Source organism: Homo sapiens, chromosome 14, assembly GCF_000001405.40.
Source record: "Homo sapiens chromosome 14, GRCh38.p14 Primary Assembly".
Taxonomy (NCBI): domain Eukaryota; kingdom Metazoa; phylum Chordata; class Mammalia; order Primates; family Hominidae; genus Homo; species Homo sapiens.
In genome coordinates, this window is record NC_000014.9 from 29,650,401 (window position 1) to 29,670,614 (window position 20,214).

General features: G+C 34.7%; 1 protein-coding gene across 7 annotated transcripts in view, besides 1 other annotated feature; it reads right to left on the reverse strand.

The window, feature by feature from the left end:
• The window catches only part of PRKD1 (protein kinase D1), a 351,369-nt gene that overhangs the window by 73,922 nt on the left and 257,233 nt on the right, over positions 1–20,214 (reverse strand). For 5 of the 7 annotated variants that reach the window (XR_943493.3, NM_001330069.2, NM_001348390.1 and 2 more), the window contains 3 exons: positions 15,677–15,808; positions 13,299–13,459; positions 6,076–6,099 (listed from right to left, as the gene is read on the reverse strand). Coding sequence is in view for 6 of the 7 variants with exons in the window: in NM_001330069.2 (NP_001316998.1) it covers positions 6,076–6,099; positions 13,299–13,459; positions 15,677–15,808 (317 nt within the window). In the remaining variant the exon portion in view is untranslated. The remainder of the gene's footprint in view (positions 1–6,075; positions 6,100–13,298; positions 13,460–15,676; positions 15,809–20,214) is intronic. The other 2 variants (NM_002742.3, XM_047431589.1) reach the window with 1 other exon arrangement.
• Positions 13,026–13,590: an enhancer, noted in NCBI's record as "OCT4-NANOG hESC enhancer chr14:30132632-30133196 (GRCh37/hg19 assembly coordinates)". NCBI's record gives its function as "activates a minimal SCP1, AML or CMV promoter by ChIP-STARR-seq in naive H9 embryonic stem cells {active_cell/tissue: H9 hESC(naive)}" and the evidence as "EXISTENCE:reporter gene assay evidence [ECO:0000049][PMID:30033119]".

Sequence of the window (20,214 nt, forward strand, 5' to 3'; positions counted from 1 at the left end):
CTATCCCCTTCAGGGCTGAAGCTCTCCCATTGGCACCAAGTTTCCCAGGTCTCCTCTGTCCCGGGGCCTCAGTCCCACAGGCAAAGGAGACAGAAATCTGCCATCTCCAGTCCCGGGTTTCAGCACCAGAAATGTTGCAGTGAATTAAGGGACCAGAGAGACTGAATGGGGGGGGCAGGAGAGTTTATTTAAGGTGTACACTGGCTTAGTGGACATGTATCCTGAAAGACTGAGCACTAGACAAAGAAGTTGCCTTTTAAGCAGTTTTTGGCAGGAACTACTTGATGCAGGAATCAGGCTTACAGAAGCAAGAACTAAAGCAGTTAATCATTAGGTAACATTCTTGAGATTCAGCTTACATCTTGGGAAAAACATGTCCTGTAACTTACGCTTATCTATTTTGTGACCTTGCAGCTGCACAGCAAGAAGAAAAACAGAAACTTAGAGACCTTACAATATATGTGGGAAACAGATAAGGTGTCTTACAGTTTCTACAGAAAAGCAGTTAATATTCTTTTCTAACTTTTACTTCAAGGGGTTCACCAATGCCTATTACAGCTAAACTTTTTATTATTTTTTCTATTTCATAAGGACAATCAATTCTTTAATTTTTCTACTTCAATAGTACATTATAGAATCCTAGCCCATAATACTCAATGTCAAACATGTAGCGCTGTGTGTGTCTGTGTGTACACGCTCATGTGCTTCTGAAACAACGTGGTAAGACCAAAGACTAGATTTTAATGCAACTTAATTACAAAAGAGAAAGAGACAAAAGATAAGAGACTTTTCTCCTCTATCTATCCCACACCCCTAAAAGAGCTTTGGGTTTTAAAAATACAGAAAAGCACTCACTCAATGAAATTATATCACTCAAGTGATATTTTCAGTGCATGGCTACACAAAAATAGATACCACTAAAAACTGGGCTATTTAGAGAAAGAGGCATATTTGTTCATAACTCCCTGACATTGTCTCATCTTACATTTCACTATATTTATTATTAAAATGGCAACATCATCACTCTTTTTGAGAAGGCAAGAAGGAATTCATCTGATTAGATTAAATCAAGTATCAGAATACCATGTCTAAGGGGTTCAGTAAAATAATGTATCTAAATATTTGAAAAGACACAAATATTTTAGAGGCTGAATTTTCTCTAGTTTCTAGAAGTCTAATTTATAGTACCAATTCCAATCTTCTACTCTCCTCTCTCCTTCTCATTATTATTTCTTCTATAGAAATCTTTCTTTTTTTTTTTTCCTGGGTAGCCACATTCATGAGGACATATAAACTGTTGAAGTGAACATAAGTAACCTTTTTTTCATATTTTTTATTTATTATTTATGTATTTATTTTTGAGACCGAGTTTTGTTCTTGTTGTGCAGTCTAGAGTGCAATGGCTGTGATCTCTGCTCACTGCAACCTCCACCTCCCAGGTTCAAGTGATACTCCTACCTCAGCCTTCCAACTAGCTGGGATTACAGGCATGCACCACCATGCCCAGCTAATTTTTTGTGTTTTTAGTAGAGATGGGGTTTCACCACGTTGGCCAGGCTGGTCTCGAACTCCTGACCTCAGGTGATCCACCCGCCTTGGCCTCCCAAAGTGTTGGGATTATAGGCGTGAACCACCGTGCCTGGCCCTTTTTTTCATATTTCTCAGGTAGCAGTTCAGAAGTTATGAGCAGTCGGTAATTAAGGGAGCAGAAACTTAAATCTATCCCAGCCTAGAATATTAGATGGACGCAGATGCCCACAAGTAAATGCCTGCAATTCCTAACAGTGGAAGGCTCTGTTTTGTGTCTTGTCAGGAGTGCTGTGGAGGTCACGGTACCTTGCCTGAGAGTTGCACGGGATTTTCAGAGCTGTTACTAAAAATCCGATTGTTTTTAAGACCTATATATTAGTAAGTGTGAGGCAATTGGTATATGATGCCACCCCCTCCCAGCAGGGTTCATGAAGAACTCTCCAGTAGTATTCACATTTACAATCACATATCTGCAAGGTTTTGTTCAGAGCATGAATTAAGAATGGACATATATGATAAGCCAGACTTGTGGAATGAAATCAGATAACAGTAACTCAAAGCAGGCCTCACAATCTTATTAATTTTACTGAAGGACACTTTCCCCAGAAACTCACTACTGCACATAGTCTCAGGAAGCAGGGAAGTTCTGGTTAAAAAATTTTTGGACATCTTTCCTCACTGAAAGTACACACTGCCCAGGTTTGAATTTGAAAAACTAGTTTGTAGAATCATCAAAGGAAAACCTGCAATTTCTGGCAAATGTACTACATGAGTGTCATGGTGCATATTTAAATGGAAAAATGACTTTTTATTTCAGAGAAATCACCAGGATTCCTGGAATTCCAGAACACAAGAGTTAAGTCTCTACTTCTAAATAGACTTTTGCTGCATTGAAAAATATCCTGGCAAATGTTCATCTGGGCAGTAAGTATCATCATAGTTAAGAAATAGCTTTTTGTCCATTATTTGCTTATTTGAAAAGAAACTACTTTGACTATTATAAAATGTATCAGGATCATATCTAATTATAGATAGAAAATACAATGCTGGTATTCTCGTTTTCATTTTTTAAATAAATGAAAACAGTAACTAAATGAATCATTTCTGAGGGGAGATGTTCTATGAACGTATGCAGCCTAGAGCTCATTTTAGTACAATCCGTGTCTTCATTACATGTGAGTCAGTAAACCTGTATGAAAATAATAGCAGTTTATGGCCAATTGTTATTTAGAAAATATGCAACCTCACATAAAAAGTTAAACTGAATATTGTCCGGATTGCATAAAATTAAAGGATATAAAATGGTCAAATGCAGAGAAAGCTTTTAGAATGAGCGATTTATTTCCTAATGATTTCTGTAAGGTGGCCTGAATGTTAAGAATAACCAAAAAGATTAGGCTAGAAGCATTTAATTCCAAGAAAAAATAAGTTCTCTGTAGAGCCTCTTAACTTCAAAGCTAAATTAGTAGATACCTCCTTAAAGTCACTTAAAAACATTTAAGATAACTTTAGTAAAGTTATTTAATTTTTTAAAAAAAATCCATAATGTAAAAAATGCTGTGTCATCAATTATATCCTATGGTCACACAGGTCATCCAATATCTTAAATTCTGCTTCATTTTCCACCTTGACTTCAGTTCTTTTACCTCAAGAAAAGGTCATTCTCCTCAACTGCTTGACAAAAATATTATCTTTAATCTGGCCATGTTGATTTATTTTCAACATGTCTCTATATGGTTAAGTCTCTATACAGTAAGAGAATGAATGAAAATATGTCTTCTCCATGTGAAAAAAATCAATATGGGAAAAGACATAAAAAACATACAGATCACAGATTAATAGAGGATAACAGTCATAATACATAAAGACTATAAGCAACCAATAAGCAACTCAATGGAAAAAGAGAAAGGCAATTCACCATGGCTGAAATACAAATGGCCAATTAATATATGAAAAGCCTTTATTCTCTCCAACAAAGAAATATATAGTTAGGCACAGATTTTATATAGATATATTTCAAATTAGCAGGGAGGAAAAGCCTTTTAAAATATTGACAACACCTGTTGTTGGGAAGAGTATAAGGAAATGGAAACTCTCATACACTATTTTCAGTAGAGTTAAAAATGTAAACTTTTACACTTTTGAATAACTATTTTTTTTTTTAAAAAAGCAGTATAACCTATTTGGATTCTAATAATGTTATCTACTAACTCATTCAGTAAATAATTTTTATTTTTACTTTATTTATTATTATTTTTTGAGACAGAGTCTCATTCTATCACCCAGGCTGGAGTGCAGTGGCATGATCTTGGCCCAATGCAACCTCTGCCTCTCGGGTTCAAGCAATTCTCATGCCTCAGCTTCCTGAGTAGCTGGGATTACAGGTGCGTGCCACCATGCCTGGCTAATTTTTCTATGTTTTTAGTAGAGGCAGGGTTTCACCATGTTGACCAGGCTGGTCTCGAACTTCTGGCCTCAAGTGATCTGCCTGTCTCGGCCTCCTAAAATGCTAGGATTATAGGTGTGAGCCACTGTGCTTGGCCAAATAAATATTTATTCAGAATTTACTAGTGCTTTTACAAATACGCAAAAAATAGAGATGCTTATTTTTTGCATTATTTCAAATTTAAAATGGAAACAGGAGGACAGATTGGTTACATAAATCAATATATTTCATTGTAATATAATACCAGGAAGCTTATACAAAGACATATACTATATCTACTTGTCGGTATATGGTTTACCTATGCAAGCTCCATGAAGGCGGATAATTTATCTATTTTTGCATACTTGTGCACCTCAGGGTTACAGACATAAAAGTGTAAACTGACCAGGACATGCTGAACATGGAGCAATGGCCAGGTTTCTATAACCATTCTGCTACTTGCACAACTGTCACTAAAACATTTCTCTGAAGAAATTCTGGTCGAATTTCATGCATCAGTTTCTTCCAAGACATTTATAAAGAGAAAAGTCTGTTATCTTTTTGACAAACTAGACGTAAACAAAGTTCAAGAAAAACAGCTCATGCCGAAAACACATCTTATTTCCATCAGGAGCTAGCCTGTGAAGGCCTGGTTGCTTTTAATTTGTACAACTTGCACAGAAAATCAGACTACTCTTCAGTCCTCCTTTATGCAATCTGTTCCCGACTGCAATGTGGGAGAAGGAAGTGAAAAATGTTTCCTGTCCTTCTTTGGCTTCATGCCCAAAGGATTATTTGAAAGGAAAGATACTAATTCACATTTAAAATTATGTCTAGAAGGCATTTTAAATTACAAACCAAATTTACAAGACTATAAAAAATTACACTCACCTAGCTTTCACACTGGACTTATTCTAAGTAGGACACTTTTTGAGTAAGAATGATTTTTCAAAAATAGGAATTTACTATTATTGAAGCAGATGTCTTCATCCTGTAGCTTATGAATCAGAAATCTTGACTCATCCATCTTAATTAACCCAGAACATGTTCTGGTTGTGTTTTCATTAGCTTCCTTTGTTAGAGTTACCGTAACAAGACCATCTTAGAATGGATACTAATAATAATATTTGAAATTTATAGTCCCATGAGGGAAAATAACAGTATGTCAACTCTCAATTGACCAAGGTATAGAAATAAAAGACAGTAAACATTCACAAGTCAACTGACCAAAACAAACCATCACAAGAAGAGCATTGTTGGATGCTCTAATACTTGACCTAAATACTTCTCCTCCACGTTCACATCATTCATTGCTTAAAATAGAAAAAAGGCCAATTTTGGAGGAGGGCTTAACTAAAACCTTTTTTAAAGGAAATTTGTGTTTTTTCCATATATAATTTCTGTCTGGATTGAGAGACTGACATTTCCATTTGTATACCATTTTTAAAAAATAATTAATAGATTGTGATAACACAAAAGGATGGAAAGATCCTTTATTGAAAAGGTAAGTTCATGGGTGCAGCACCCTAACATGACACACGTACCCTAGAACTTAAAGTATAATAAAAAATATATATATATATTAAAAAAAGAAAAAAAAAGAAAAGGTAAGTTCAGGAACTGTAAACAAGCAGTTACAGCCATCTTTAGGCAGTATACTGGGATGGTGTCCTCACTTTGCATGCCTCTGTGGTACCTGGGATCAGGACATAGTTCCAATGTGCATAAGATTCATTTAACATAGCATCACATAAGTGAGGGCTGATGTATTCTTCATTCTCAATATGTCTGCTCAGTTTCATTAAAAAACAAAACAAAACACCAATGTTATGAAATCAAGCAATCACAGGGCAAAATCTGACCTGAAAAACCTAATTCTATTACTCTAATGACTTCATTGCTTTTTGGCTTATTGGGACTGTGAAAAGTTAAACATAACAGGACAAAAGCAAGGAAAACCTGAGGGCTTTCTGTGGGTCAATGTGTTGAATTTTGAGCTAAACTCTGACCTGATTATTCTCATAAAGTCAGTACAGACAATTGTCTGATGTCAGCGTAATATGCTGGTTTGAAAAAGACAGTGAAGCAAATTTCTAGCACCAGGTAGCATTAGTACCTACCTCAAAGCCAGGACTCACAGGAGACTGAAACATGAAGTTGTAAGAGCAAAAAGCAGGCAAAGGTGCAGAATCAAAGGAGAAAAAGACAGGAAAACAACGTTATTGGATGGAAGCAAAGCACATTACTCAATAATGTTTCATATAGGCATGCTTTCAAAAAAAAGCAAAATGTTATACTAAACAGTCTTTATAACTACAGAGATATCTGAGTTGCAAACTACATTTAATATTTAAATGGAACTATAGACACTAAGTAAAAATTGCAAAAATAATTGTGAGTCGCTAGATGTTAAAAAAAACAGCTCTACTTGTCATGGTCTCAGTGATGAACGATGGTTCTTTCACCTCATTGAAAATAAATTATAGTCAAAATGAAGCGTTTTTGACCTTTAAGTGAAAGATTAGATTTTCTTCACAATAATTCATATTCTCAATGGGAAAAGAAAGAAAAAGGTCATCAAAGTAATCAAATGATACAAAGTTGTTATCTGCTTGCAAGCAAGAATAAGCTAATGAATAATCAGTAGCAGTCAGTGGTTTCCAAACCTAGAAAGTCCAATAGCGGGTTAGAGTTTTAAGGAGAAAAACATGCCTACAATGTATTCTTTGCTCATTTTAGAATCTTTGTTGCATATTATTATTTTCTATCTGATTCCGTTCAAGGTTGAAATATAATTCAAAAGCAGTAAGGTTACTCTTAATGATTTTTTAAAAGACAAGAGGTAGTATCAATGAAAAATATGACAGAGCTTAATTAAGTAGATAACACTTAACTGGTAATTTATATTGAATATGTTCTTTTTCATCTCTGTTCTCTCAAGCTTTTGGGGGGCAGCTCTATCTGATAACTAGAAACCAAATCAAAACTACAATATAGTTCACTCTTTTTCTTAACAAAAATGCATGACTGAGCTTTGAAATGTGATTTTTTTGCAGTGTTGAATAAAAGACCTCACATTGAGAAAAATCCTACTATCTGTTTGTTTTGAATCCTCAGTCCTCATTTGCAATCTGCAGCTAACCCATCTTGTCAGAAACTTTGGAAAGTCATGAGCATTTGGACTGAGGTTCTACCAAGACTGATTGGTTATCCAGTATTACCTGCTACAGGCCGGGCGCAGTGGCTCACGGCTGTAATGCCAGCACTTTGGGAGGCCGAGGCAGGGGGATCAAGAGGTCAGGAGATTGAGACCATCCTGGCTAACACGGTGAAACCCCGTCTCTATTAAAAAATACAAAAAATTAGCCGGGCGTGGTGGCGGGCGCCAGTAGTCCCAGCTACTCCGGAGGCTGAGGCAGGAGAACGGCGTGAACCCGGAAGGCGGAGCTTGCAGTGAGCCAAGATCGCGCCACTGCACTCCAGCCTGTGTGACAGAGCAAGATTCCATCTCAAAACAAAACAAAACAAAACAAACAAACAAAAAAAAGAAAAAACCTGCCACATTTCTGGATTGACATAAAGCATGTGCAGAGCTCAAGGGCAACAACCACTCATTTGAAAAGAACCAAACATGAGTTTCAGGGAAAAATTACAACTTTGTTTGCAGGTACTCTTAGGGCACATTTGCATGCAGAAATGGCAAAGTTAGCTCTTTGGGAGAGGAAATCAATTTCTCAATTTCCAAAGTAAAGTATTATCCTTGCTATCTATATATCTGATACCCAAAGTGTATATTTTTCCTCCAGTTAGTAGCCCTGAATCTCTTTTTTCTGGGCCGTCGTCACAATTCAACTTCAGCTGCATGCTGTTCAGCTCATATTTGAAGATGGTCTATGCAACGTGCATTCATTTACTCATTCCTCTAAGTTATTGTTTCCCAAAGTGCATGTACTTCCCACACAATATTAATGCGTTTTATGAGAAAAGGGTTCCATGTTAGAGTGGATTTAAGAACACTAATTTTACCACTGTCAGACTTCTTACTTAGGCCCTTAATTATGCATAATGACTCCTAGGATGTCCAAAATTTGGATGAACCAAGAAGCATTTCCTAATCTTATTTGACCAATTTTTTTTTTTCAGAATATTTTATGGGGCCATTATTTTTAAGAAAAACTTTAAGAAACACAGAGACAGCTCTATCTTTTCATCCTGTTATCAAGTTAGAATCACCAGAAATGTCTATAAATCACCAAGGAAAAGAGAGCGACCTGTTTCATTGGTAGTTGGTTGTAAATTATACCACAGTTTTGTTTTTGTTTGGTTTTTCCCTTAAAGGAAGATCATATAATTACAGTTTTGTATCTGTGATGAAACTACTGCAGGTGACAATGTTTATTATGCAAATGAATACTAGTATCCCAGAATGATGTGGCATATTACTTTTAATTTAGCACCCAAAGAATTTATTTCCAATGTAAATTTTATAGCTCCATTTTCTTTTAATTGACTGATAGGAATCTCATAACATAATGTATTAATTATTATGACATAACATTTCATTCTTTTCTCACATGACCTGTGTTGAAGAATCTCAATGGCTTTATAACTTGCTATTTGGAGATCCATTGCTATTATCATTTTAAAACACTTTTACTGAGGTACAATTCATATGGAATAAAGTAAACACCATTCTAGGTGTATAGCTTGATGAAGTTTTGCATGTGCATAAACCCATGTAACCTCTACCCAGATCAAGATATATAATATTGCCAGCATCCTAGAAAGCTCACTTCTGCTCCTTCCCAGTTGATATCCCACCTTAGTTTTATTTTTAAGTATCTTGCCATAAATTGGTTTTGCTTGATTTGAACTTCATATACTGGATTCATAAGTATGTACCCTTTGTCTGACTTATTTCTTTAAATATCATTTTGTGAGATTCAACAATGTTGCAGAGTGAATCAATAGTTAATTAATTCCATGGCTGTATCATTCATACAATCCATTGTATGACTACACCACTACTGGTTTCTAATTTTTAGCTATTATGCATAAAGATGTCAAAAACATCTTTTAACATATCCTTCTGGGCATGACTCTGTATATTCCTATTGTATATATACCTGGAAGTAGAACTGATGTGTCACACCATATGCATGTGTTTAGCTTTACGAGATAACTGCCAACAAGTTTTCCAAAGTCGTTTGGGCCAATATACAATCCCAGTAGTAGTGTATGTAAGTTTAGTTGCTCAGTATCTTCCCCAGTACTTGTTATTAACAGGTGTTCTTTCAATGACAGACATTCTGATGTAGACATAGGTCATTACAGACTTAACTTTACAGTCCTTGATAACTAATGATGTTAAGCACATTTTCATGTTTATTGTCTATCTTGTAATGTGCTGGTTAAGTATATAGCTATATTTTAAATAACGTTGTCTGTCTTCTAACTTTTTTGTAAATGTTCCTTATGTGCTCTGAATATGAGTTTTTATATGATATATTGTATTGAAAATGTCTTCTCCCACTCACTTTTCTATTCTCTTAATGACATATTTTGATTAAAATAATTTCTTAGTTTTAATGATGCCCAATTTATCAATCTTTTTCCTTTGTCATCAGTGATTTAAATCCTGTTTAAAAAAGCTTTTCCTACTCGAAGTTCTTGTAGATATACTTTCTGTGTTACCTCCTAGAAGCTTCCAATCTACCTACAATTGATTTCGTGTATGGCATAAGACAGGGTCAAGATTCTTCTTTGCCATATAGATATCCAATTGGTCACAGAGATGTTTGCTGAAAAGACCATTCTTTTCTCACAGCAGTTTTTCCCTTGTCATAAATCAGCTGGTCTGTGTATGCACATAGTTTCCGGACTCTATTTCATCGGTTAATTTTTCTGTCTTTGTGTAACAGCACATTGCCTTAATACTTTATACTTAACTTTGTATAATACTACCTTGCCTTTACTGCGCCTTTATAATATGTTTGGCAAGTCTCTGGTTTGTTCTACATCAGGGGTGCTCAACCTCAGCACTATTGACATTTTGGGTTGGATACTTCTTCATTGTAGGAGGCTGCCCTGTGTACTGACCTCTCTGTGATTGGTCACTCAAATCCAATTGCCTTGGTTGCTCTTGGGTGCCTTCAAATAGTGTTTTGTTATGTTATATTTTATTCGGCTTTTATCATTGTCCCTCATGGGAGAGTTTATCTGATTAAAGTTTTCCTTTACACCTAGGAACAGACGTTCTACAACAGATTATTATATTATAATAACTTTTTGCCTAAGACTAACCCTTGCCTGGTGTGGGTTCAATTGGCTTTGACTTTTCCCAAATACCACAAGAACACATGTAAATAAAATAAAAAGATGAGTAAAGCATACAGAAATAATAGACTCATTTAATACTAACTTCTTCTACAGTTGCCCAAAAGTCCATAAAACTGATATAATTTGATAAATATACTTATAGATAATGATACAGTGTATTAATGTGTTCCACTTAAGAATCTGCTGAGTTTTTCTTGTTTCCTTCTAATACTGATGATAGTTTACAAAAAAAAAAATCCATGCCCACAGAACTGTTATAAATTGACCACATCTTGGAATTTTTTAAAGATGGACTGTTTTATGGATAGCATAATGGATAGTTTACTGCCAAAGTTGATGACAGTTGAAGTTTGTCATGTGATCTATGCTATTATAATATTTTTTCTATCTTAACATTAGAGAAATCTGAGATTGAATTTCTGTGCCCAAATGGATAAACAAACAGAATTACCAATGTCGTAATCTGTATCTGAAAAAGAAACTTTATAGTCAAAATAGGCAATCATTTATGGAAAATATAACTTTCTCATATTTGAGAGAAAATATACTTACCATGGCAGACTTGCAAAATAAATGGTCTAGTGGCCTTAATGAGCAATGCTGTCTTTACAAGGGTCAGGCCATCATTCTTTTTGGAAATGGAAATTATTCTTTAATGTATATAGAACCCAAAGGTTTTACTATTATTGCTATAATATCACCTCTTATTAGGCACCCACTATAACTTTTAAACTATAGTTATTGGTGTTACTGGGTTGAAAAGGGATATAGGCATGGTACTCCCCGTGTGCCTTGGTCGAGCAGGGTGCTTTTGTTCCCGTATGAAGAAGCGAAGACATGAAAGGGAACAAAGGCAACAGGGAAATATGTGTCCTCCTCAAGGTGGGCCAATGTTTCCTACTTTCTCAGGGATTGGGTAAAAACAAAGACAAGTAGGCACCCCATAAGGACACAAAGGGCTTTGCTGTGTTTAAAACATGATTCTGAGAACCAGTGTGTCAAATAGTGTCACAAACATTACTTCCAAATGCATTTCTCATTTAAAGTTTACCTGAAGGCATTTTACACAAGGTTACGAAAGCTTATGACTCCCATCCCAGTAGCTTTAAAAAGTATCTTGTGGCTCCAATATTTTCTCACTTAATAAATATCTGATTTGATCATAATTTTACAAGCATTCTTGACAAAGTCTAATTTTAAAAATGTGTACTTATAAAATAGATTTTAAGCATTTTACAAAAAAATTTTAATTCACCATTTAATTTCAACATTTTATGTAACGTATCAAATAATTCAAATAATTTAGTGGTTATTTAATTTGGTTACATAAAGCATTATTTTATTGCTTTAATTTGGTTTTATTGCTTTTATTGCTTTTAAGCTTTTATTGCTTTAAGTTGGTTTAAAAACACAAAAATCCGTGTTAAATTATACTTACATAAGCTAAATTAGATTTATATAGAAACCATACATTTATATACATATATGCATAATTTACAATGTTGTTTCTTAAACTTATTTTTAAATGTCTATCTTATAAACATCATGACTCTCAGCAGCTATGCTTAAAAGCAAGAGTAATTGCTGTAACTTGTAAAATCACTAATTGCAAAAATTCAAACTCAAAGAACTTCTGAGCTGAGAAGATGACATAGGATTATTTTAAAACACAGACTTTGACTTAAGCACTTATCAGTAAGAATATCATAATTTCAATTAATAGAACTTCATGGAATAATATATGATCATGCATACATATTCTGAATAGGTATGAAGTTATAATATGTTCTTCTAGTTATTGGTGAAATTTAGTACCTGCCTTCTCCAACTAGGTTCACTTAGTGATGTACTGAAAACACAAGAAACCCCTAAAAGAGAGCCTTATAAAAGAGTATGGGATTTTCCTAATTATTAAAATAATTCATTTCATTTATACTCCTGGTTTACACTGTAAAAAAATTTTGGTGATATAAAGATCGTGATCACAATAAAATATTTTCCAAACAAGTAATTTATACAACTTCTTATAGATGTCTTCAGAATTTGTTACCACTCTCCACTCCAAGAGGGATCTATTCAACCTAAATGTTTAAGTATTTTCAAAATTTTTTTCTCTCTAATTGATTTTTACAGTAACAGGATTATAAAGCATCATTGTAATATCCATCGGGAGATAGAGGGGGTAAATATGGGAAATTTAAATCCTCAAACTATTAGCGTATTTCAGAATGTGTTTTTATTTTAAATAATTCACATAATTACCACAATTTTTATTTTGTTTCGAATGTTTGGAAAATCCAAATTTAACTTTCTTAAGGAAGAATATTAACCATATCCATAAGATATATATATATTTATTTGCATATTTTATATATAATATATATAAAATATATACTATATAATATATATAATATATAAAAATATATATCTTATGGATATAGTTAATATTCTTCCATATATATATATATATATATATTCTAGAGCTAATGGAAATATTTAAAGTGTTAAGTCCTATTTTTCTCACAGGACTTATCAATCAGTTTTTGACAATAAGCTGGCATGTATGCCAGTATGCCAAGCAATAAAGACTTTCATGGTTTCACAAGAGCAAATTTCAAGTTTCCTCCCAAAATAAATATTCAGCCATGCCACAAATTCCTCTAATAATCTTCAGAGAACATTTTGTATCTCTCTGGTTTCCAAATTTTGACAAGCGATGTTTTGCAACATTAACACATTAGTTCGTGCTGCTCTGGCCCTGTGACCACGATAAAACCTCACATATTTTATCATTTCACTAAGCTCAGAGATAAAAGCAAACTCAAAACTGTTGGATATTTGATGAGACACTGACCAATCTACAGCACAAGCCCTGAAGAAACACTGTCATTAACACCCTGGCTGCATTCTCCCTCCTAGCGCCCTGTCTTGGATTGACATTGCTATCACATCACCCCACAGATTTCTCATGTAAATGGGGAAGTGGGTAAACAGGAAGCCATACCAGAAGGGGCTCATCAGGGGCACTTGTAGAGAGTTCAGCAGATGATGTGCGGATGGTGCTGACCCCAGTGAGGGAAACGTTTGAGAGCCTTCTCCGCCTCACACCGCTGCAATTGTTGGGTATTTTAAATGCACATCTCTTATGGTAATTCAGACCACACCCTGGAAAGGGAAAATAAAAATTATTTTTATTGAACCATAAATTAAAAAGTGATTCCAATATTAGTGTAAAGTAGAAATTTAAAAAATAGTACAGCTTCCATTTTCCTTGAGAGTATTTGGAAATTCACATTTTCTTTTGAACATTCTCTGAATTTTTTTTCCAATTTGTTAATGGGTTTTGAATTCTGATCTTATTGCACAAGCTCAGGAACTATGCTAGGTATCATTTTTAAAAATGTTCTGTGATATAACAGTCTTAGGCTTGAAGGGATATAGAAATTAACTCAAATTAGATAATCTGAGCCACTTTTAGCTGCCGTAAGTTCAAATGTGAGTGGACACATAAAGGAATATTAATCACAGCACATCACAAGTTTTAGACAACACTAATTTGAATCTGGGCCTCATAACTTGCTTGTCTACATGGCCTGGAACAAAGTTTCACCTCAGTTTTCTCGTCTCTAAAATGGAGGTAATAACTACCTTGTAGAATTACTAAGAAGATATATAAAGTACCTCACATGCTGGTTTCCACATGGTAGGTGATCAATAATTGGAAACAGATTTCCCACCTAGGCAAGTGTCAGTTTCTTTTCAATATTTTTAATATTCATATTCCCCACGTAGCTGGAGGCCATTACTTAGAATCTCTCCATGTGTCACACAGCAGTCCGGACAGACAAATTTTCATAAAACCAGATTTTAGGCAGAGTTTCTTCCAGATTATTGTCTGCTAGCTTCCCTCTTCACAGACAGAAATTCAAAAATTGTGGATAGTTTATTTGTAGGTTGCATAATAAATGCTCAGTTATATTTGTCAAAGTTCAAAGAACTCTAACCCTGCCCTCCCAATCCAAAGAGAATAGAGTACAATTGCGCCAGTTTTAAAGATTATATCATGGTGTCCTAGCACCTTGAATTGTGCAGTTCAAAGTGTTCTTTCCACATTATGATAAAATTATGTTGTTGGTGCAGAAATGCAGATACATGTTCCAGCTCGCGACTCAACAGCTGAGTGAACTTAGACGGTTTAATTTCCTGAATCTCTGCTCATTTCAACAAATGTGTATTCAATGTCTACTATTCCAATTTCTGACTTATTTACTAGGCAAATTTTATTTTTAGTCGGCTGATAAAATATTGAGCACCATATAGGGGTGAAACATGTCCACATGATAAGGGAGAAAAGATGTGAGAATAAGGGTTCCCAGGTCAGACCAACTTTGTTCAAGACAGGAAACTTAAAGAAATGAACAGAAGAGAATCCATGTACCCCCTAAATGCCTGGAAGATACTTCGGGGAGATACTGCTACACTATTGTAGAGGGCACAACATAAGCAGATAGCTCCATCATGCATTATTTTTTATTTTTTACTATTTCATTAGCTTTAGGTGTACATGTGGTTTTCAGTACATGAATGAATTATATAGTGGTAAAGTCTGGGCTTTTAGTGTAGCTGTCACCCAAATGGTTTATGTTCATTGTACACAATAGGTAGTTTTTCATCCCTCAGCCACCTCTGAACCTCCTGCTTCTGATTTTCCAATGTCTATTACACCACTGTGTGTGCCCCTGTGTACCCACAGATTAGCTTCCACTTATAAATGAGAACATGTGGTATTTGGCTTTTGTTCCTGAGTTACTTCAGTTAGGATAATGGCCTCCAGTTCTATCCAAGTTGCTGCAAAAGACATTATTTTGTTCTTTTTCATGGCTGAGTAGTATTTCATGGTGTATATATATAATGCATATTGTGAATTGTATTCACAATTGCAAAGGTATGGAATCAACCTAAGTGCCCATCAACCAATGAGTGGATAAAGAGAATGTGGAGTGTATACACGCACACACACCAATGTATATACATGTTTGTATATATGTGTGTATATGTATATATGTGTATACATACATAGATCTATGTACATAGGTGTATATATACATAGACTTATGTAATAGGTGTATATATAGATAGATCTATGTATGTATACACACAAAAAAACCTATATTTTCTCAACCAAACGAGTGGATGAAGAAAATGTATATATACACACATATATATGTGCGTATATATATGTATATATGTACCACATTTTCTTTATCCACTCATTGGTTGATGGGCACTTAGCTTTTACGTATCTTTGCAATTGTGAATTCTGCTGCGATAAACACAGGAGAACAGCACACATTTAACTTGCATGGGAAGAAAATAACTTACCTTCACATTTAAGACCTTGACGTACCAGCCCCCACAGCATTTCTCCACAGTGATCACAGAAAGCTGGAGCTCTGTATGAATGAACAAAGAGAGCGTGGGGACGAATCTGAAAGTCTTCAAAGGTGGCGGAAGCTGTAAAAATAGTGATGTTGAAAAGTAAGTTGAATAGGCACTCTGATCTGTAAATAAAAAGTATGCAAGATAATAAATATGCCAGTACGGATATAACTCCCTAGGCAAAGTTAGGGAAGATAAGATGCAACACAGCTTGCACTTTCAGCCATTAGACATTATTCCCAGCCATAGTTTTACAGTTGGTGGCACAGCAACCATCTCTCTTCTCCTCTTCCTGCTTGACCAAGTTTCAGACCACTTTAAAAACAGCCAAAAAAATAGCAGAAAGCATGAATGAAAGTATAAGTACACCTGATTTACAAACACCTGATGATACTTAAAAAATATTTTACTTTTTCTCTTACTTAAATGAGTGAGAAAGGTATTCAAAAATATTAATGAAAAGAAGAAAGTTGATGAATTCAGATAGATCCGAAAAATAGTATCCTTGAGTTTGACAATGAAGAAGTACATTACAGGGTCCAGTTGAAAGATAGATATAAAATATGAGTGGCTTCCTTATATAGGGATAGAGCTGTCTGAACTCTTGGGCAATGTATAATAACTAAGCATTTAAATCATGACTGAGCAACAACCAAGCAGCCACTTCACCAACATGCCAAAGAGAGGGATTTAATACATACGCTGGTGAACTGCAGTCCATTCTGAGAAATACACCTTAATCAACCATATTCATGTTGTAGGGAACTTTTTGGTGTTGCTTACTGTTGCTTATTCTGTATGGTACTCATACAGGATATTAAAATCCATTTTTATTACATCTTTCCATATGATATTTTTATTGTATTATAAAAGTGGTTTGTGCTGTTTTGTTGTTGCTGAAATCAAGAAATAGAAAGGTATCGACAGCGGAAAGATGAGCTTTTTTCTTAGTGTCCTAATGGAAAGTGGTGGATCTTTCCAGACCTATGTGCACACAGTAAGCCTGAGGTTGCGGCTGCACAATATAGCACAGTACAGCACCTGGCAGGCAGAAGACCTGGGGGAAGCCTGACCTTTACCGGAGTGACATCTCAATAAGCACGAGTCTCAGTTTCTCATACCTAAAAAGAGACAGTCTGTCTGATGATGACTTCTCCAGTCCCTTAAAATTTAAACTTCCATTAATGTAAGAACAGAACCATATGAACTTAACTTTGTAAGATTTTATTTTACGAGAATTTTGGGGAAAACTGAGGCCTTCAATATATTCCTTGTCTTCTGCCTTCCTTTCCTTTCCTCCTCAATTCAAATAAGTTTAAGAAATTGCATATCACATTTCCCACTTCAAGATCCACAATATAATTGTCAATGCTTAATCCAAGTAGATCAGAAAAAAAGTGTGGTTTGGGTGCCAATCACCTACTTTGGTGGTTTGGTCAAAATGTGTCCAATTGGGAGAAGAATAAATTCTTTTTAAAATTGGTCTCTCATACTCATGTAGAAAATTTATTTTTAAAATATCAAAGAAAATAATTAAAGAGAAAACTTTATGTCAATTCTTAACTTCTAGCTTCTCCCCTCAGCCCCAAAATCACCCCTCCAGACCAAACAACTATGACAATACTATCACAACGATTAGTTGAATAATTACTTTAGTATTCAAAATAAGCCACATTAGAATTTGACAATACAAATACCAAGCTGGATTCAGACATTTTTGGAATTAATCAGAAGGAATATAAATAATTAAACTAAAGATTTTCAGTGACACTCCTCCAATTTATGCTAGGTAAATTTGTTTTTTTTTTTTCTTTCATTTTTTGAAGAGGATTAACATTCATAAGCAGTTAGCACCCTTGACTTATGTTTAAATGCCATATTTCTAAAGTTCAATTTTAATATTCTCCTGTTAATTTTAGAATAATTAAATACATTTTTAAAATAAAACTATGAAGTGTGGTGAGGTTTTTACATCCATTTGAAATCAAAGCACAACATCCATTCATTATGAATTTACCTGTTCTGCACCCTGGGGGAAATCAGCATTAGTTGAGTGTATGCATGCCACCTCGCCTAATCACAAAATTGCACTTCAGAGATAATCACTTAGCACAGGAAAACAAAGTGAATGCTGTAATTCCATTTCATTTAAGTTTAGGAATCAAAATGGACAGATAAGAATAGGAATATTAAAGTGTCTAGAGATTCCAAGAGAGGAACAATGGGCTATCTGTTAGTCTGTCATAATCAATCAGCCAACCTAAATTAAAACCATATGACAGGGCAACAAACTAAACACAATAGGCCCCTTATACTGGTATTTGTGTCTCTTTTATTTGCTCTATTCACAGCCTATTGTTATACTCCAGTGTGCAAGAGAAGAGAAAATGACATGCTTTTCTTAGTCATTGAGCATTTGAAACAGGTAATTGAGCCAAAAACCCTAAGATAATCAGTTCTTTTATGGTTCATTATAAATTGTTGCACAAATGGAGTAAACTGTTTGGTTAGCAGTACAGAAGAAATAAGGCTTCTGAAGCAAAATAATCTCTGGAGGTCAAAATTATTTGCATAATAAAATAAAATAACGACAGATCTTCCAAGATTTTCAGTACTTTTTTAAAAAACTGGTAATTTTGGCAATGGGAGAAGCATAAACTCTTGCTGGCTATGACAAGTTGAGACTGATATAATGAGAGGAAATGCTTAAGCAATCTATAAGGTAGTTATTATGCCAAACCCCATTTTACAGATGAGAAAACTGATACTCAGAAATTAAGGAGCTACACTAGGTAATACAGAATCTGAACTGAGGCAGTCCTGACACCAGAACCATATAAACTCTCTCAGCCACCATTACTCAACTTGTATTTTTTTGACTATTTAAACACTATGGATTATAAGCTGCACCTTTATTTTATGTATCACTGAAAAATATTTTTTAAAGAGTACAATTAAATACATATAACACACAACCCCTTGTAACATGCATTATTATCTTATAACAATGCTGGGAAAATAAGAAGCCATGAAATAAAGTATAGAAAAAAATTAATCCAGTTCTCAAGATCAAAAATTCTTTTAGTATGCTTTTTGCATGAGCTCCATGTTTAGAAATCCTCCTTTCCAAACAAATTAAGGAAAAGTCATTGGTTTTTCAACTTTTACAAAAGTCAGTGGTAATGATGCATAGGTGAGCTAAACGCCAACTGGAGCTTTGTGTCCACATGATAACATGTCCCCACATTGAATTGATTAGTTCGTCCCAAAGCAAAACATTTTGAAGTTTCTGAAAGCTGTGAAGCTTTGCTGTGGGCATTTTTTTTTTCCTTTACTGTCTAGAATATTGAAAATAGTTTCTGGATACCACTCCTACACAAAATCACATACTTGCTATTTTTAAGGTATTCTGTAGATTAAAAACAAAAACAAAAACAAAACAAAACAATATTGGCTGGGCATAGTGGCTCACGCCTGGGATCCCAACACTTTGGGAGGCCAAGGCAGGTGGATCACCTGAGGTCAGAAGTTTGAGACCAGCCTGGCCAACACGGTAAAACCCTATCTCTACTAAAAATACAAAAATTAGCTGGGCATGGTGGCATGCACCTGTAATCCGAGCTACTTAGGAGGCTGAGGCAGAAGAATTGTTTGAACCTGGGAGGCAGAGGTTGCAATGAATCAAGATCACACCATTGCACTCCAGCCTGGACAACAGAGTGAGACTGTGTCTCAAAAAACAAAAAACAAAAACAAAACAAAACAAAAACCAATATCTTCTTTAAACTTCCTTTCATTCACCCATAAACACACATTATTGGTGGAATGATCACTACTCACAATCAGTTTATTGCATTTGTGAATATCTCAAATTATTAGAAAGTTGTTTTTATTGAGGCCCCAATACACTTCTGTAACTTTTACTTAGTAATCATAATGCTAAAAGCAAGCCTTTAAAAATAAGGCATTTTTATGCATTTAAATGAGCTTATGTAAGTAAAGCAGTCCTAATAATTTCAACCTAACATAGTTTATGTTATGTGTTATTAATATATCTAGAACCTCCTAGGTAATATAGTATATGTTGAAAATAAAAAAAGGACTAAGGAACGGTATCTGTAGTTGAGAGATCAAAGTCAAAATGAGGATGACAGGCCCATGTATATTTATAATACCAAATGCAGGGATGGAACAGAAGACAAAGGGTGGCTAAGTCTGTCTAGGTCTGTCAGGGAACACTTCATCCAAGAGAGGAATTGTACAGAATCCTGAAGGTTGAAGAGTATTTTGAAAAGCAGAGAACAGGATAAAAGAGTGAACATTTTTATATAGTCTTATTTTAATTATATATAACATAGGATTGTCTATATATTTCTTTACAATTATTGTGGGTTCTTGACACTTTATCATCTTTGGTGCACTGTCAGGGAAATCAGCAAGAATGACTACAAATTGTCCATGAGGCAGGGAACTGAGAGATG